The 20172-nt window shown below is 38.2% G+C and overlaps 1 protein-coding gene across 1 annotated transcript; it reads right to left on the reverse strand.

Moving 5' to 3' along the window:
• On the reverse strand, positions 7676–18643 carry JCHAIN (joining chain of multimeric IgA and IgM). Its single transcript, NM_144646.4, has 4 exons — positions 18562–18643; positions 14227–14350; positions 9346–9426; positions 7676–8674 (listed from the first exon to the last, which is right to left on the reverse strand). The coding sequence occupies exons 1-4, from the start codon at positions 18623–18625 to the stop codon at positions 8464–8466; spliced, it is 480 nt and encodes a 159-aa protein (NP_653247.1). The 5' UTR covers positions 18626–18643; the 3' UTR covers positions 7676–8463.
• Between the last annotated feature and the right edge of the window lie 1529 nt (positions 18644–20172).

The raw sequence follows: 20172 nt of genomic DNA on the forward strand, positions 1-20172 counted from the left end.
GCCTACAGTAAACTTCTCTAGAGGATGGTTGGGCATTAATCCAGGTGCCTGGGGGAAATCTTGCATTTCCTCACCTGACACAGGAAGCAAAGTAAGATGACAAAATGTAGAGCCAAGCCAGACCTCCGTAAACAGCCTAGTAGCCATTAGCATGGAGAGTCTTCTCTGACTTTTTGGAGCACCTAAACATGTAGATAACATGTTTCACTTCGGTCACTCACATCAGCATCTTAACTTTATACACCTTTAAAGAAAACGCAGAAGTAATGACCTTTGAGTTATTTGTATTATTAACATTACTCAGACGTATCTCTGACCACTCGTTTCCTCTTCCCTCATTTACCCCAGTCGCCTTCAATCATGACCTTAAGGAAACTGAAAAAGATTCATCTTGACCTCAGGAAACCAAACTTCATTTCTAATAACTAAAAAAGAAACCAGAAACGTTGGACTTAAAAAATCAACAGCTCTGTCCCAACTGCCCAATCAAAAGTTGGAAGAAAACTTCACTCGATGGAAAATAGACGTTCACCATTTCACAATAAAATATAGCATTAGGTTTTGTCCACATGCGCTTCCATGTGACTCCACCTCACCCCTAGTCCAATAACATCAGCCACTGAAACTTTTCTTCTTGCTTTGAATTTACAGTCAATTAGATTTAGAAATAGGATTCAACTGGTAACAAGCAAAATTCCATGCTGGCAGAGGAAAAATTTTCAAATGAAGAGGCGAAGAGGAAGCTGATCTGTAATTTGACAAAGATATAATTGTGAAATAGATAAAGCTATTCTCAGGATCCCTTCACATCCCAGGCAAGGTCCTGTGCTCTCATGATGCCCCCATTTCATCCACCTGAGCACCCAGCAACTTCCGTTTCTGTGCCTCATCAGAGCTTGACCAGTAATTACCTCTGAGCTTACCCAAATAACCTTATCTCATTCCTTTCTGCACTATATAAAGCTTTACTCCTATTGCTGATGAATATAATTTTTATCTGGCTGATGCGGAATGTGCTTGGTTGGCTTTACTCTCTCTTTTTTTTTTTTTTTTTTCTTTTTTTGAGACAGGCTGGAGTGCAGTGGCACGATCTGGGCTAATTGCAACCTCCACCTCCTGGATTCAGGCGATTCTCCTGCCTCAGCCTCCCAAGTAGCTGGGACTACACGCACCACCACACCCAGCTAATTTTTGTATTTTTAGTAGAGAGGGGGTTTCACCATGTTGGCCAGGAGGGTCTCGATCTCTTGACCACGTGATCCGCCCGCCTCAGCCCCCCAAAGTGCTGGGATTACAGGTATGAGCCACCGCGACTGGCCGACTTTACTCTTTTTTGTTTGTTTGTTTGTTTCGTTTTGTTTTTGAGACGGAGTTTCGCTCTTGATGCCCAGGCTGGAGTGCAGTGGCGGGATCTCAGCTCACCGCAACCTCTGCTTCCCGGGTTCAAGGGATTCTCCTGCCTCAGCCTCTCGAGTAGCTGGGATTACAGGCATGGGCCAACACACCCAACTAATTTTGTATTTTTAGTAAAGACAGAGTTTCTCCATGTTGGTCAGGCTGGTCTCCAACTCCCGACCTCAGGCGATCGACCCATCTAGGCCTCCCAAAGTGCTGGGATTACAGGCGTGAGCCACCGCACCCGGCCGCCAGCTTTACTCTTATTGCTAATTAATATAATCTTTATCTGGCTGATGCTAAGTATGCTTACTTGGGCAAATGGCTAACTTGTCAAGAACTGCGCAGAAGGAAAACATTTCTCACCAATGGTACTTATTTATGCCTGCCTTTTAAAAATGTCACCCATTTAATTCAAATTAAAAAGAGAGGGCAAAAAGTGCAAGCATTATAATAGACTTATGACAGGTTAATGAATTGGTCGCACTAACCTCAAAATGCCACATTAGCTTTAAGAAAATATTACAGTATTTGCTGTGGTTTAACTCAGTAAAAATATTTTTTTCTCAGCTGGGTGCAGTGGCTCACTCGTGTAATCCCAGCACTTTGGGAGGCCGAGGCGGGTGGATCACCTGAGGTCAGGAGTTGGAGACGAGCCTGGCCAACATGGTGAAACCCCGTCTCTACTAAAAATACTAAAAAATTAGCCAGGTATGGTGGCCGGCCCCTGTAATCCCAGCTACTTGGGAGGCTGAGGCAGGAGAATCACTTGAACCCGGGAGGCAGAGATTGCAGTGAGCCAAGATCACGCCATTGCACTCCAGCCTGGGCGACAGAGTGAGACTCCATTTCAAAAAAAAAAAAAAAAGAAAGAAAGAAAAAGAAAAAGAAAACAAAATTTTGTTCAGAGAAGACCTTGTCAGTCCCATTCCTCATCTGTTAAACCACATTGGCAGCTGCCTCTGGATTCAGGCTGTTTTCTGACAGTGTTGCATGCCATGCTAGCATTATTCCAGTTTTAATGTGTATATGATTGTGAACTGTGTTAAAATGCAGATGTTGATTCAGAGGCTCTGGAGCAGAGCCCACCATTCTGTGGTATTAACATGCTCCCAGGTGGTAGTGATTCAACCAATCGGTGGACAAAGTGGCAAAGTGGTAAGGGTGGCAAAGTGGTAGGCTGCTCCCTCTAAATAAGTGGCAACTTCACACTCACCAGGGAAGGAACAGAAAGGTCTTGACCAATGAAAAAACTATCACCAATTTGAGGGGATGTGTATAAATTAAGCATATAAGTGAAAGATTCAAGACAGAAAGAGAAACAGGAGCAGGCTGATCCTGTCTCTATTCTGACATTTGTGTTATGCTTCTTCCTCTTTCACTGCTTGGCTCGTGTAGTTCTAGAAGGTTCTATTCTCCATCAGGAAAGGCCCCATTCAGTTAACATCTCCTCCAAGATTACCCCAGTCCTAACAACCCAGCTTCCCTGAAGGCTCACAGTACATGATCTTTAATATTTATTTATTTATTTATTTATTTATTTGAGACAGTCTTGCTTTGTTGCCCAGGCTGGAGTGCAGTGATGCGATCTTAGCTCACTGCAACTTCTGCCTCCCTAGTTCAAGCAATTCTCATGCCTCAGCCTCCTGAGTAGCTGGGATTACAGACGTGGGCCACTACACCCAGCTAATTTTTGTATTTTTAGTAGAGCAGGGGTTTCGTCATGTTGGCCAGGCTGTTCTTGAACTCCTGGCCTCAAGTGATCCACCCACCTCAACCTCCCCATGTGCTGGGATTACAGTTGTAAGCCACCATGCCCAGCCGATCTTTAATATTTAATCACAACTGTGTCTTATACTGTGTGCTAATTTTTTCCTGTGTTAGTTTTGCCTATAGAAGAAATAGGAAAACTGAAAAAGTGAGACCCAGTTCTTCTTCTTATGTGGCCCTCATAGCACTGTGCTGAGTACAGAGTAGATTCTAAGTAAACACCACTCTCTTTATCTTATGCAAATGAATAAATATTTAGAATTTCACCAAAATTAATATTAATGTATTAACTAATATTAAAAGTTTAATAATGATTAACACTTTTCTAATTATAAAATATACAGTCTTTGTAGAATATTTGGAACATTCTATACTAAAAAGTAAAAGGAAACAAAAAAATAACATTTTGGCCTATTTCCCTCAAGTCTTTTCCCATGTATGTGTAGGGAATTTTCTTTTTTTTTTTCTTTTTTGAGAGGGAGTCTCTCTCTGTCGCCCAGGCTGGAGTGCAGTGGCACAATCTCGGCTCACTGCAAGCTCCGCCTCCGGGGTTCTGGCCATTCTCCTGCCTCAGCCTCCCGAGTAGCTGGGACTACAGGCGCCGGCCATCACGCCCGGCTATTTTTTTGTATTTTTAGTAGAGATGGGATTTCACCGTGTTAGCCGGGATGATCTCTATCTCCTGACCTTGTGATCCGCCCGCCTCGGCCTCCCAAAGTGCTGGGATTACAGGCGAGAGCCACCACATCCAGCCTGGAATTTTCTTAAAGTCACTCCTTTATGCAAAATCCTACATTTTCCTCTTCACTTTGTATATCAATTTCCATAAATTTTAAAACACATGATGTTTCACTTCAGTTGTATGTAAAATATTTTGAAGTATACCTATATTACCATTCCCTTGATGATGGACTTAAAGTTTCCTATGAATTTTCACTATTATAAATCACATTGTAATAGATATCTCTATCTCTCTTTGTCTGTATTTCTGGTTATTTCCTCAGAAGTGGAATTACCGAGGAAGATGGTTTGAAGGATGTTTAGACAGAATAACATACTGACTGAGAGCTTTGGCTTTGGAGTCTGACAGCCTTGGAGCTAATCATCAGTTCTCCAAATACCTGAAAAACATTAGGCAGGTTACTTCATCACCCTCACAGCTCAGTTTTACCATTTGTAAAGTGAAAACAGTACTTGTTTTATGCAATGTTAGGAGAATTAAATGAAACAACGCGTGTTAAAAACGTACATTCATTGTATTTTGTAACTCAACCACTAGATGGAAGTGGAGGTTTATAATTATAAAGTAGTGGCTCTCCTGTAATTTCCAGCCTCAGTAGCACCTGGGGAATTTGTGGGACCTGCAATGTCTCCAGCTGCATCTCTGAGCTACTTGATCAGTATCTCTGAGGTGGAGCTCAGCAATCTACTTTAATGAGTCCTCCAGGTAATTCTCATACACTCTAAAGTTTGAAAAATCACTGATCCTGCCGGGCGCAGTGGCTCATGCCTGTAATCCCAGCACTTTGGGAGGCCAAGGCAGGCAGATCACTTGAGGTCGGGAGTTTGAGACCAGCCTGACCAACATGGAGAAACCCAGTCTTCTACTAAAAATACAAAAAATTAGCCAGGCGTTGTGGCGCATGCCTGAAATCCCAGCTACTTGGGAGGCTGAGGCAGGGGAATCGTTTGAACCCAGGAGGCAGAGGTTGCGGCAAGCCAAGATTGCACCATTGCACTTCAGCCTGGGAAACGAGAGCAAAACTCCGTCTGAAAAAAAAAAAAAAAAAAAAAACCCAGAAAATCACTGACCCAATATATATTCACATATATTTACATTCTTTTCTTATTTGTTGTTTAGGCAGGGAGAAGAGCCAAAGAAAATTAACACATAATAACAACTGTAAATTATGGATTGTTGCTAATTGCTACCACAGTGGTAATAAGTGATATGCAGACACAGCATGCATCCTTATTTTTATAAAAATCAATGTAGTTATTTTTGCTCCCATTTTTCAAATGAGGAAGCAATCTTTGAATTAACTTGGCCAATGTTACAGTATGTATTTCAATATAGACCATGGATTTATCCACTAGACTATACTGCTACCCCAAAGCCAAGACCTGGAAATCCCATTAAAGGGCTTTATTCTTATTGCTGATTAATATAATTTTCATCTGGCTGCTGCTGAGTGTGCTTACCTGAGCAAATGGCTAACTTGTCAAGAACTATGCAGAAGAAAAACATTTCTCACCAATTGTACCTATTTATGCCTGTCTTTTTAAAATGTCATCCATTTAATTCAAATTAAAAAGGGGGGGCAAAAGGTGCAAAACTTATAATAGACTTATGACAGGTCAATGAATTGGTCACATTAACCTCAAAATATCACATGAGGTTTAAGAAAATGTTACAGTGGACATAGTGATTCTCTAAGAGCCTCAATTGATGTTTGTTAAGACTATAGCAGAGTGATTCAGACTTTTCATTGCCATTTACTAGATAAGTGAACCACTCAAATGGCTAATTATCCACTTAGTTGGTTTTCTCATTTATAATATGAAATACCCAAAAAGTTATTGTAAGGATAAAATGAGATGACATAGATAAATCATTTGGTACTTGAAGAATGCTATCATCGTTATCATCACTAAATCAGATAGATCATAATCAGTATTGTGTTAATTTGGACCCTGCAGAATTGCAAGATGAGATTAGTGGGTGCAAGAGATTTATTAGGAAAACATCTGTGAGGGATAATGGGAAGGGAGCCGAAGAAGGCTGAGTCTTCGGATCCTGATGCAGGTCTTACCCATGTGGAGCAAAGAGGATAGGAAGGATGATTGGACAGATAATGTCTGGAGGTGCAGTGCTAAGAAATTTTCAGCAAAGATAAAAAGGAGTCCCCAAGTCAGTGCCCCATCAGAAGAGTCCTGTGTCTCCCGGGAACTGACCTGTCTTAGTGTCCCTTGCACAAACACAGTGGATCTCAGAACTATAGGTCAATTACATTCTTTGCAGAGAACTGAGAGGCTCCTTTCATGGCCACCACATCTTACATTGATTCCTTAGTGTGCCCCTCTAAATGTTCCACTAATACCAGCAAATGTTTGAATACAACTTAAAGAAAGGCTTTAATCTATCCTCAATAACTCTCATTTAAGAGTCACCAGCTACTCCAGATTTATATTGAATGAGTTAATATATATAAAGCACTTACATTGGTACCTAGCACATAGTAAGTACTAAATTGTTACTAGTATGGTAGTATCAGAGTTTAACTGAACTTCTGAAAGAAGGAAGACTTGTGGGACTACGAATTGCAGTCTTCTTCCAGCTAGCATTTAATGAGGTAATAATGCTGGAATAGGGGTCTTTCCTATAAGGATCTGCAATGTGGATCTACAAAACTTCTTCTACTGGGTACACCGAGAAACTAAGGCAAAGATGAGGAGAAAGTAAGCGGTCTCTTCAGAAGCAGTCTCTCATGAATTCTCATAGCACTTTGGAAGCTATTTCTTTGCCTTCAGCAGGCTCTGCCAAATAATAATTATTTATGTGTATGTCTTATCTCTTCAACTAAGCTACACTCATGTTCATTCATTCAACAAATATGTATTGAGTACTTCCATGTGCCAGACACTGTTCCAGATGGTGAGGAAACATCAATGGGCAAAAGTGCGTGCCTTCGTGGAGATTACACTCTAGTGAGGGGAGACAGACCATAAACATGACACGTAAGTAAATTACCTAGTCTGCTAGAGGGAGATAAGTACTTGGGGGGAAGTAGACTAAGATAAAGAAATGGGGTTTGAGATATTTAAAAAGTAGTCAGGGTGGTTCTCACAGAGAAGATGACACCTAGGCACAGTTCTGGGGAGCGAGCAGTGATAGTGACTTTCTCAAGGGCGCTCACCATAACTTCACCACCACAGACCAATCCTGTGCATTTGGTTAATATTTAATAAATGTTTACTGACTAAATGAGATTCAAAGACTTGGCTAAAACCACACTCTAGATTAAAGATCAGTCAAGAATGGATGTATCTTTAATACACCAAAACTGGGGTTTCTACTGAAGCACCAGTGTCCTATGCATATCCCTAAAGAAACACTGAATAATCCGTGGAAGTCATTAAAGATGACTATTACCAGAACAATTCCTTTTCAAGAAACCAACTCTTACTAATCATCTTCCCACTGTTTTAAATTCAGAGTTAGCATTTACTTTCCATGGTACCTTTAAATATATATGTCAATTGGCCTTGGCTTTCTGCCATAAAGTTTTATGTGCCATGATAAACATGGTATTTATCAGGGGGGATTTTGCCCTTTTATTTAATTATGGGTATAAAATGGCAAAGCCACCTCAAATATGTACATGTATTAGTTCTGTGATTAATGCTTCATTACATCATACTTACAAACCATTCATCAATAACAAGTTAACTTACGTAAAGAAAGTTAACATAAGGAAACTTTTTTCCAACAAATTATTTCACACAGGTATATGCTTATGAATCTATTTAATTGCTCAGACTGTGCTAGAGAATACGTACCATGAAATACATATATTTCATAAGGTTCAGTTACAAAATGGATTGTTTCAAATGGCAATTTCTTACACTAACCTGATTATGAAAAAAAGAAGTCTGTATCATCTGCTTCCAAGTCTGTTATGTCCAAATATATTTTAATTATGCATTTATTTTGCTACTTTTATAAATATTAGAGATTTCACCTTAAATTATTTTTGTAACTAGTTCTAGAACATGTTTTCCAATTATTATTTTTCTAATGGAGACATATAATTGACCTATGTTTATGCATATATGTTCTCTACACAGTGAAACTTTTTTTAAAAAGAATAGTAAAGAAAATGCGGAAGCTCTGGCTCTCCAAGGCAAAGTCAAAAAAAAAAAAAAAAGCGGGGGGGAATGCGAGGAACATTTTATTACACCTCCTGATTTTCAGTCCTTGAGTTTTATTTTCTCCCCTTGTTTATTTGTTTAATGCTAGAAACTGTATTCCTAAGAGAGCATACCTCTTTCAGGTGAGCATGATAATTGGAAGATTTTGATACTTAGAGTATGAACATATAATTAAGAAGTGATTACCTAATAAAGATAACAATGTGACTATTTTAATTATTTTGGTGGCAGGGAGTTGGTTTTACATCACCCAAAAAAAAAAAAAAGCCCTGGTTTCAAATTCATTGGTAATAAATATGCTAACTTTCTGAATCAAAATGGAGAGCCTCTCAAGAAAAAGAGCTATGCAGTCAGCAATGACTTAAATTAGTCAGGATAGCAGGCATCTGGGGTTAAGGCTGTTTCCACCATTTTGGTCTCACCACCATATACGAGTGGGACCACAGCTGTGTAGCACTTGTTTCTGTCATAAGTGTAGCAGGTCTCTGTAGCACTGTCTTCATCACAGATATTGCTCTGGGTAGCAGTAACTATCTGATTATCCAGCTCCACTTCTGTAGGATCACATTTTTTACAGCTGAAAAGCAAATATATGTATTAGACAATCCCCTCAAATGCTGTCTCAAAATGTGACTACACATTTCAATCCAAAATCAATTAGTTCTTGCAGCTCTGACATGACAGCAAGGGATGACTCCTTTCAGACATAAGCAGCTCTACAATACAGAATAGCTTATGGGATTTTCCAATCTTTAATATATATTAGTTGAAAGTAAGCAATATAATTAATGATATGATAATATGATTGTTTTATCTACACCATACAGCAATTTCTACTGTGTTAGGCTTATTCCCAACTGTATATCTGTCTAAACAAGTTATTTATAGTGACAAGAAAGGGAGAATTTTTAAAAAAATTGATGTTGGAGTCTGTCATTTCCAAAGAAACACCTGCCTTTTTATAAGATCAAATCCACTTATTGAACTATTAAGAGAAATTGGCCTTTCTATGAATGCCAATGATTTTTTCTTTAGAAAAAATGTATAGCTAAATTTTATCTGTGACAAAGTTTTATGAATTTATGATACCTAATAATTAACATAGGAATTAATGTATTCAAAAGTTCAGATTATGTTTGTAAATGTTTATACTCCAACATATTTTTAAAAACATTCTTACTAACAAGGTTAAAATTAAAAGCTATTAACTTCCACATCTATATTACTATGGAAAAAAATATATCTTACAGGTCAGACAAATGGTACACAAATCTGGTTCTCAATGGTGAGGTGGGATCAGAGATATTCTCCCTGTTGTTCAGAGGAACACTAAAAGAAAAGAAAGAAAACAAAGTTAAAACAATGAAATGCAGATATTGTTATTTTTGGTAATGAGTATACGGCCACTATTTCATCAGAACAGTACTTATTGTATTTAGTACTCTATAAGCACTCTAGAGTAATACCGTTACTCAGATTTTTATAGTAACTTGCTATATTTTAAATATTTCTCATTCAAAATAAACCTCACAACAACTCCGCTGTCAACTATCTTTGCTGACTTGGCAAATTTTTGCTTTTCCTTTAAAACTCAACTCACGTTTTACCTCTGTAATAATTATATTGATGTTATCCCCACCCTTCAACAAACTTCTTCCTCTGCAGTCTCATTAATGCTCATATATATTTATTATATCAAATGCCGTATCATAGTTGCTTGTCTACAGAGTGGTTGCTTCCCTGGGCTATGTAAGTTCCTTGAGGCAAAAACATTTATGTATTCCCAGTGCCTAGCTAGGTATGTGGCATATGGAATATGTTCAATATATGTGAAATGGACAGACAGATATTATTATCCAGATTTTAGAGGAGAGGAAATCATAAATAGGAGAGGTTAGTGATCCACCCAAGTTCACACAACAATTAAGTAGCAAAGCTGGAACTTTTTCATCGTGATGTCCCATGAAAAATTAGATGATTGTCAACGAGTTCAGGTGATTTCATTAACTTTAACATTTTTTTCATCTAAGTCATCATTCCTTCTCATGTGCAGCCCTCCCTACCAAAAGGAACAACAAAAACCTTGTGTTTCCTAACTCAGTATTTATAAATACCATCCAAGCCAAAAACCTGGCTATCATACCTGAATCCTCCCCTGTCACATATCTAATCAATCTCACAGTCCAGTTGATTCTAATTATTTTCATGTGTGAAATCCATCCACTTGCCTCTCTTCTCATTATTACTGCCTTAATTCAGGACACCACTATCCTCTCCTAGATTGTAACAATGTCTTCCTTTTGTCTTGACCCCTTCAAACCACTGGCCACATTATTGCCAAACATCCTTTCTAAAAATGCAAGCTTAATTTCCTTCTCTGCTTAAAACCTCTAGTGTCTCTCCACAGATAACAGGGTATCCTCAAATAGCATAGAAGGCACGTATCCTAATATGCCCCTAACTCTCCAGCTTCATCTCTCACAATGTCACCATCTACAATGCATGCCAGCTGTAAACAATCACTTGCAATTCCACAAACGTACCATGCTTTTCTCATCTCCCATCTTAACAATAACAGTTCTAACATATAATACTGGTTACAGTGTGCCTGGTACTATGCTAAGCATATTACGTGATGATCTCATATAATCGTCACAGCAATCCTGTTTCCTTTTCCTGGAATGACCTGCCCCACCTATTAATTCTCTCACTCCCCACACACATTTAGCCAGCAAACTCCTATTGAGCTAACAGCCATCATCCATCCCACCACTTATTCCAAGCACCCTTTCCTGCCTCCCACTGCCACCCTTCTCCTCTCCCCCAGGATTGGACTGGGTGCCCCTCCTCAGTACTCCTATAACAACCCATGCCCATTCCTATCATAGCACTTACAATACAGAATTGTAATTGCCGTTTTAATTGTTTACGGTTTCCTGTTAGACTATAAATTCTTTTAAGAAATGGACTATATTTTAAATAAACTGTTTTATCCCCACCACCAACCCTTAATATTTGGCAGTTACTAAATAAACATTCGTTGAATGAATGAATGAAACTATTCTTAATAAGACTGTAAAGACTCTAGTAATATCAGAAAAAGGAGAGGCTACTATAAGCCAAACACTGTTCTTTTATGAATTATTGTATTTAATCCTCACAACCCTATAAAGTATATGTGTATAAATTCATACATGCATAATTATCCCTTTTTTTAAAGTTTAGGAAAAAGGCTAGTTAAGTAACTTGCCCAAAGTCACATCATTTTAGTAAGTAATGGAGTTGGGAATAATACCATAATGGCAGGCTCGGCATGGTGGCTCACGCCTGTAATCCCAGCACTTTGGGAGGCTGAGGCAGGTGGATTGCTTGAGGTCAGGAGTTCAAGCCCAGCTTGGCCAACATGATGAAACCTTGTCTCTACTAAAAATACAAAAATTAGCCAGGCGATGAGGAGTGCATATGTAGTTCCAGCTACTAGGGAGACTGAGGCAGAAGAATTGCTTGAACCTGGGAGGCAGAGGTTGCAGTGAGCCAAGATCATGCTACTGCACTCCAGCCTGGGCAACAGAGTGAGACTCTGTCTCAAAAAAAAAAAAAAAAAAAAAAAAAAAAAAAGCCAGGCACGGTGGCTCATGCCTGCAGTCTCAGCACTTTGGGAGGCCAAGGTGGGCAGATCACCTGAGGTCAAGTGTTCGAGACTAGCCTGGCCAACATGGTGAAACCTCATCTCTACTAAAAATACAAAAAAAAACTAGCTGGGCATGGTGGTGCGTGCCTGTAGTCCCAGCTACTCGGGGAGGCTGAGGCAGGAGAATTGTTTGAACCCAGGAGGCAGAGGTTGCAGTAAGCCAAGATCGCACCACTGCATTCCAACCCGGGTGACAGAGGGAGACTCCATCTCAAAATAATGATAAGAATAATAATAATAATACCATAATGGCACAGCAATGGCAATATACTTTCAGAAATCAGAACAGAAGATCAACACATCAGGCAAAGTGTCATGAAATATCTGAATTATCTGATTTCAGTAAACAATGTAATATAAAAAGAATCATTTCATAAAATAAAAAGATGAATTAGAAGATCATGGAGGAGATTTTAAAAATCTCCTGGAGGTTTAAACGTAAGATAGACACTCTTCAACATGGCTTAAGTGCCAGTGTCATGTATGCCATTCTTTCCAATTACCCACTACTCCAGCTATTCTATCCCTAACACGAAGCTATGTGGGCAGGATCTGAGTGGTCAAAGAAAACCTCCTAGAGGAAGTGATGGCTGAACTAAGACATGCACATTGAGAAGGAGTTAACTAGGCTAAGAGGGGTGGGACAGAGTTCTTCAAACAGAGGAACTAGCAGATGTAAAAGCACTGTGAATGTGGGGAAATAGAGACACTACAGCAGTGCTGAATTTTTTTTTTTTTTTTTTTTTGAGAAAGTCTCGCTCTTGTCCCCCAGGCTGGAGTGCAGCAATGGCATGATCTTGGCTGACTGCAACCTCCGCCTTCCGGGTTCAAGTGATTCTCCTGCTTCAGCCTCCCGAGTAGCTGGGATTACAGGCACCTGCCACCACGCCCGGATAATTTTTGTATTTTTAGTAGAGACGGGGTTTCACCATGTTGGCCAGGCTCGTCTCAAACTCCTAACCTCAGGTGATCCACCCGCCTCGGCCTCCCAAAGTGCTGGCATTACAGGCATGAGCCACCGTGCCCAGCCCCAGTAGTGCTGAATTTTTAAACATGAAGTAAAAGAAAAGTGGCAATGGATGATCTTGAGAGTTATGCTAAGCTTTGTAGATCAGGCCAAGGCATTTGTAATATATCCTAAGGTCAATGTTGGGGAAACCATCACAAGACTTTTAAGCAGGATGGTGACAATAATTGGCACATAGATTAGGTGAATAAATAATAGTAAATATTTTTTAATATGTCCCAGAAATATATAAGCTCTAAAAGGAATATTCTCTATTTATTTTTACAATAATCCTATGAGTTAAGCATGATTTTTTTCCTCATTTAAAGATGAAAAAGTTGAAGTTCAAAGTAGATTAGTAACTTGCATACAAAAACACACAACTATTAAGTGTCCCAGACAGAACTTAAAACAAAATTCTTAAACACATTATACTTTTTCCATTGATTGAATGGAATGGAATGCTCTGTTCTCTTTCTATAGGAGATTTGATTGGGGAAAAACTATTAAGGTAGGAGTGGTTTACAAGGAAAACTTATAACTGATTGGATCCAATAGAAATCTAATTTCTCAAATAGTATTAGCATTCTTGCTATTGAAAAAGAGCTGTATAGCATATAACTCTGGACTGTGTGTGAAATGAAATGAATATCTGAAATCCAATCTAAAAGTGAGATCAAATCAAATTAATGTGATCAGTCTGCCTTATCTCGATGCAGACATCTGGTTACAGTATAAAAGACTCAGTTATCTATATATGGTACAAAATAAGGCTTTAGTGTTATCTGAAGTTTCAGTTTGAACTGATCAAAGGCAACTGAAAGTTCTGATTCAAATTGAAATAACTTGGCCAGGCGTGGTGGTTCAGGCCTGTAATCCTAGCACTCTGGGAGGCCAAGGCAGGAGGATCGCTTGAGCTCAGAAGTTCGAGAACAGCCTGGGCAACATAGTGAGACCCTGTCTCTAAAGAAAAATAAAAAATTATCCAGGTGTGGGGTGGTGCATGCCTGTAGTCCCATCTACTGAGGAGGATCACTTGAGCCTGGGAGTTCGAGGCTGCAGTAAGCAGTAATCTTGCCACTGCACTCTAGCCTGGGTGACAGAGTGAGACCCTGTCTCAAAAACAAGCAAACAAAAATAAATGAATAGAAATAACTCCATATAAACAGTGCATGTTGATGACTAGATTACAACCTTTGTTTATAATTTGATGTAGCCCACTGATTTTAGATTGGCTGTAATCTTTCATTCTTACCCCTAATTTCAATAAAATTGCCTCAAGCTCATTCATAAGACTCAATTCTTTACTCATGTAAAGTGCTACACAGCAAAAAGGGGAGTAAAGAGGCAGGTGTTACATTCAAACAATGCTCAGTGTCAGAAAGTATCTCTGCTTAGAACAGGAAAAAAAGGAATATGGAATGCCACATACATAATTCGGATGTTTCTCTCCACAATGTCCTCATTAGGATCTTCGGAAGAACGGATGATCCTGGAAGTAATCCGGGCACACTTACATTTGTTGTCAACAAGAACAATCCTTTCATCTTCTTGGGCTTGAAAGGTAAACGTATTAAAAAGAAAGGAAAACAAAGGTCAATTTATATATTTTGTATTGAGTTATTTTATCTTTCTTGCCTGCAGAAAAATAGTTTTATGGTTGGTTTGTCTCAGCTTTCTCCATTTGTTCTCTAAGCAGAATCTTACATCACAGTAAAGGAAATCCAAAGGTACTCTAAAAGGGATTTTCACTTTTTTCTTGAACCAGTCTATGGGAATCTGGGTTGAAAGAATTCTGATTTTCGCATCCTTCCTAAACTCTCATTTGTACTTAAATTTTTTTTGTATAAATTGTATTATAGTTAAGAACAGGCATGTTTTCATCCAAGATAACCTTATTTTGTAAGACTTTTAAATATTCTCTACCACAATTATCTGCCTTTTCATAATAACAATCAGATTATCATAGTACATGATTCAATTTAAAAAAAGGCTATATTTCTTATAAGAATTATTTTAAGCAGGGCGCAGTGGCTCATGCCTGTAATCCCAGGACTTTGGGAGGCCGAGGCGGGCAGATCACAGGGTCAGGAGTTCAAGACCGGCCTGGCCAACATAGTGAAACCCCATCTCTACTAAAAACACAAAAATTAGCCGGGCATGGTGGTGCATGCCTGTAGTCCCAGCTACTCAAGAGTCTGAGGCAGGAGAATCACTTGAACCTGGGAGGTGGAGGTTGCAGTGAGCCAAGATCGTGCCACTGCACTCCAGCTTGGGCAACAGAGTGAGACTTCATCTCAAAAAAAAAAGGAAAAAAAGAATTATTTTAAAAGATAGAGTATATATAGATATAAAGTGCTGTAAATTTGCAAAAGCAATTTAGAAATATTATGAGGTACAATCTCAATTGAATATGCCTGTATACAGAAAAAAAAATGAATAAATGAATAAATACACATATGACCATTAAAGCCTTAACTTTGAATGTCAACATTTATTGTCTAATCTGAATATTAGACAAAGAGGTCTGATAAGTTGTTTGTTTATTTGCCAGAATGTCTCACTCTGTCATCCAGGCTGGAGTGCAGTGGCACGATCTCAGCTCACTGCAACCTCTGCCTCCTGGGTTCAAGTGATTTTCCTCCCTCAGCCTCCCAAGTAGCTGGGACTACAGGTGTGCACCATCACACCTGGCTAGATCTTTGTATTTTTTTTTAGCAGAGATGGAGTTTCACCATGTTGCCCAGGCTGGTCTTAAACTCCTGACCTCAAGTGATCCACCTGCCTCGAGCCTCCCAAAGTGCTGGGATTACAGAGCCACCGCACCTGACCTTGATAAGTATTGCAAGGAATAAACAAAGGAAATTTTGTATCATCTGGGTTTGGATCAATTAACAGATTTTATTTTAATTTTATTTTTTGAGACAGAGTTTCACTCTTGCCCAGGCTGGAGTGCAATGGCGTGATCTCAGCTCACTGCAACCTCCACCTCCCGGGTTCAAGTGATTCTCCTGCCTCAACCTCCCAAGTAGCTGGGATTACAGGCATGTGCCACCATGCCCAGCTAATTTTTGTATTTTTAGTAGAGACCGAGTTTCACCATGTTGGTTAGGCTGGTCTCGAACTCCTGACCTCAGGTGATCCACCCTCCTCGGCCTCCCAAAGTGCTGGGATTATGGGCGTGAGCCACCACGCCTGGCAAATTACCAGATTTTAAAAATTCAATAATAGCTTTACATAAGTAATGCTATTAAATAAGAGTGCTAATTAATAATAACAATGATGTTGGCCGGGTGCAGTGGCTCACGCCTGTAATCCCAGCACTTTGGGAGGCCGAGGCGGGTGGATCATGAGTTCAGGAGTTCCAGACCAGCCTGGCCAATATGGTGAAACTCCATCTCTACTAACAATACAAAAATTAGCCAGGCATGGTGGCACACACCTGTAATCCCAGCTACTCGGGAGGCTGAGGCAGAAGAATCTCTTGAACCTGGGAGGTGGAGGTTGCAGTGAGCCAAGACTGCACCACTCCACTCCAGCTTGGGCAACAGAGCGAGACTCCATCTCAAAAAATAATAATAATAATAATAATTACAACAATGATGTTAAATATGCTTTATTCATATAATTTTAGCTAAGTGACCTTTAACAATTCCTCTCATTAAGCCTCAACTAAAAAAAAAACATTTAGTATACGAATTCAAGTTATAAAGTTTAAATGATCAGAATAGTTATAATTTTAACTGGAAGTCTATTCCTGAGACGATTCCCAGAGCAAAGAGGACCTAATGCAGTATTTCAGTCTTAATGATAAGAGCCACTACAAAAACATTTTAAGACCATTGTTATTGTACTTGTAATTGTTTGAAGTACTTTATAATGCATTATTATACCATTATTCATAAGTTCCTAATGAATCTTCTGACACTGTGTAATATTGGAAAGAAACATTATGGAGTAAATTCAAGGTAATGAAATAACTCATTAACATCTGAAAGAGGTAAAATGACTTAAATGATGTCCTCTTTCCTACTTGTGTATCCATGACTCTTAAAAGTTTTTTCTCAATGAAATATAAATGAGCACATAATGCCTGACCAAAAATATAGATTGTTGAGGAGTGACTTGACTATTAAGTCTTAAATAGAAAATGTCTATATTCTATTACGGCATATGATTACTTCCTTACCAGAAACCTGGGAAGTTAATATAGAAAAATATTAGGCAGCCTAATATCTATCAGAAATACATAGCTGTCAGAAAAGTTACAAATACTTTCAATTCACCAAGACTTAGAGTCTAGCATTTGCTCTCACCAACAGGCAGTATTTTTCCTAACAAACCTGTTATTAGGGACTGTGCCTTACTTTATTCCAAGAGCATCTGACACATAGTAGGTGTTCAATAAATATTTGTTAAATTTAATTCACTTCAAACAAATAAGAAAATAGATTTAACAACATATGCTAGATATGACCATAATGAGTTTACTAAAAAGTGATTGCCTTACACAAGGCAGAATAGGATAGTAGGAGTGCGGGCTATAGGGTCAGATTGCCTGGGTTCTGCTTACACTCTTGCTTGCTGTATGACTTTGGTAAGTTACTTCACCTCTGTAAGTCTCAACTGGCTCAACTGTATGTCAGAAGTAATAATAGTATTTATTCTCATATGGTTACTGAGAGAATTAAATGGAATATTATATGTAAAGGAATTAGCATGATACCTAGAATATCATATTCAGTAAGTGATAGCTGTTTTATATACAGATGGTCCCCAACTTACCATGGTTCTACTTATGATTTTTCTACTTTATGATGCTGTGAAAGTGATATGTATTCAGTATGCTCCTCAGCTACAATGGGGCTACCTCCCTATAAAGTCACTGTAAGCTGAAAGTATGATATTTTCAACTTTCAACTTTATAGGGTTTATAGGGAAGTAGCCCCATTATATATATCATATATTTTTAGATATGTATATATACTTACATTGTACATGCTTTACTAATATTTTATATTTTAAATCATTAGAAAGTTATTCTTAATGCTAAATTAGTATAAAATATATATATAAGGCCTATTCTTAATCACATTTCTGTCATTATTCATCTTGAAATAAGAACCACAGACTCAGTGATAGGAACAATCCAGACAAATTTTAGTGTGTCCTTCTAAATGAAAATTATTTAATACTGTACCTCTAAATTCAGAATGTATTCCATTTTCTGAAGTTGTTTGAAAGATCAGTAAACAAAATAACAAAAGTTCAGTCATCAATTTATAGGCAACCTGTATAACATTAAACATTGTTAAAGGGTCATAATAAATCTGTGGGATCAGATCCAGGAAAGCTGTTAAAACCAATACCAGCCTCTTTGGGGAAATAAAATCCCAATGCATTCCATGTTGTACTTACAGTAATTATTATTTCATTTCTCCAGAATATTAATTTAAGAGACTCAAGGGAAGGATTATAGATTTTTAAGATTCAATATGGACATTCATATAAGCAGGACTATCTGTAGTTAGCTAATTTCTTATTCTCTAGTTTGTAGTAGGCAAACAAGTAAGTAAGATAAGAGAAAAAAGAATAAAAAGAGTCTTATCTATGTAAAGACAACTGCCATAGAAAGATGAAAGCATGTTAGGAAAAAGTAGCTGGCTAACTGGCCAACCAAAGCATAGGCATAAATGTTTAAAACTGAAAAACAGATCTGTCCTATATTTTTCCTTTGATCTGGGATCATTTTCTAAATATCACATACCTTTCACATGAACAGCCTTAATAAAAACCGCCAGGACTCCCCAGAAAAGCAAATGGTTCTTCATCTTGACTTCACTTCTTCTGAAAAACTGGAGCAAAAAAAGTCAGGGTTAAGGTGTGTGATCTATAAGGAGTGTGCAAATGATGGTGCTTCTGCTTTCTTAAAATAACACTCCAGGCAGCTAACAAACTAAAAACAATCACAACTGTGGTTGAAGTCTGAAGTTTAAATGCTGAACTGGAAAAATGTATGACTCACATTTAAGTATTTTCTTGCAAAGCATCCAAATAAAAACCATAATTTGATACAATCATTTTTATTTTGCATTTACACTATATAAATGTTTAAACCAGAAGACTAATAATAATTTCAAGGAAGGATTCCATTAAGAATGTTGAAATAGGGATTTTCCATTTTATTACCTAGATATATTCATATTAGTCTTCAAATCAGACATCTGACACTTGTCATGCCTAGAATAATAAATGAAGGTAAGTGAAGGAGGAGAGATGAAGGAAGGGGAGAGAAATGAAAGTCCTTTAAGGTCCCAAGTGTATCTTATGTTAATTTTTTATACTAGTCCTTAATTAACCAAGCTACCAGATTTAAATATATATTTTGTATATATCTCACAAAATATGTATTTTGTATATATCTCACAAAATCTGTATTTTGTATATATCTCACAAAATCTGTATTTTGTATATATCTCACAAAATCTGTATTTTGTATATATCTCACAAAATCTGTATTTTGTATATATCTCACAAAATCTGTATTTTGTATATATCTCACAAAATCTGTATTTTGTATATATCTCACAAAATCTGTATTTTGTATATATCTTACAAAATATATTTTGATTACTTTCAGTTATTTTATAAGCTCAAACATGGAATTGGAATTAGAAGCTGGTAGATACTTGGCTGGGCGCAGTGCCTCACACCTGTAAACCCTGCACTCTGGGAGGCCGAGGCAGGTGGATCACTTGGGGTCAGGAATTCAAGACCAGCCTGGCCAACATGGTGAAACCCCGTCTCTACTAAAAATACAAAAATGAGCTGGACATGGTGAGGGCCTGTAATCCCAGCTATGCGGGAGGCTGGGGCAGGAGAATCGCTTGAATCTTGGATGCAAGAGGCTGCAGTAAGCCGAGATGGCACCACTGCACTCTAGCCTGGGTGACAGAGGGAGACTCTATCTCGAAAAAAAAAAAAAAAAAAAAAGAAGCGGGTATATACCAGATAAATAAGTTGCCATATTTTAATTTGATAGCATTAAGACGGACCTTCTGTCTAGTTACACCTTTCAGAATTGCAAACCCATAAGATGATTTTTGAGATGCCTCAAAAGCAAACTGAATCACTGCAGTATTTTGTGTAAAATTTTTTTCACTTAATTAATGTCATTTTTTTTAACTGAGCTTTTGGACAGAGCACCCCCTGCACTCCCACTCCAACATGCTGGAATTTCCTGTCTCTTAGGCAAGGTTGGTTCCAAGAATATGCTGGTTACACAACAGCATCAAATCCGTGTTACTTCTGGTTCTCAGCTCTAATTTTTGAAGGGACTCCTAGAATTTTAAGAGGTAATTAGGAGTACTTCAGAATC

The sequence above is a fragment of the Homo sapiens genome, chromosome 4, assembly GCF_000001405.40.
Source record: "Homo sapiens chromosome 4, GRCh38.p14 Primary Assembly".
NCBI lineage: Eukaryota > Metazoa > Chordata > Mammalia > Primates > Hominidae > Homo > Homo sapiens.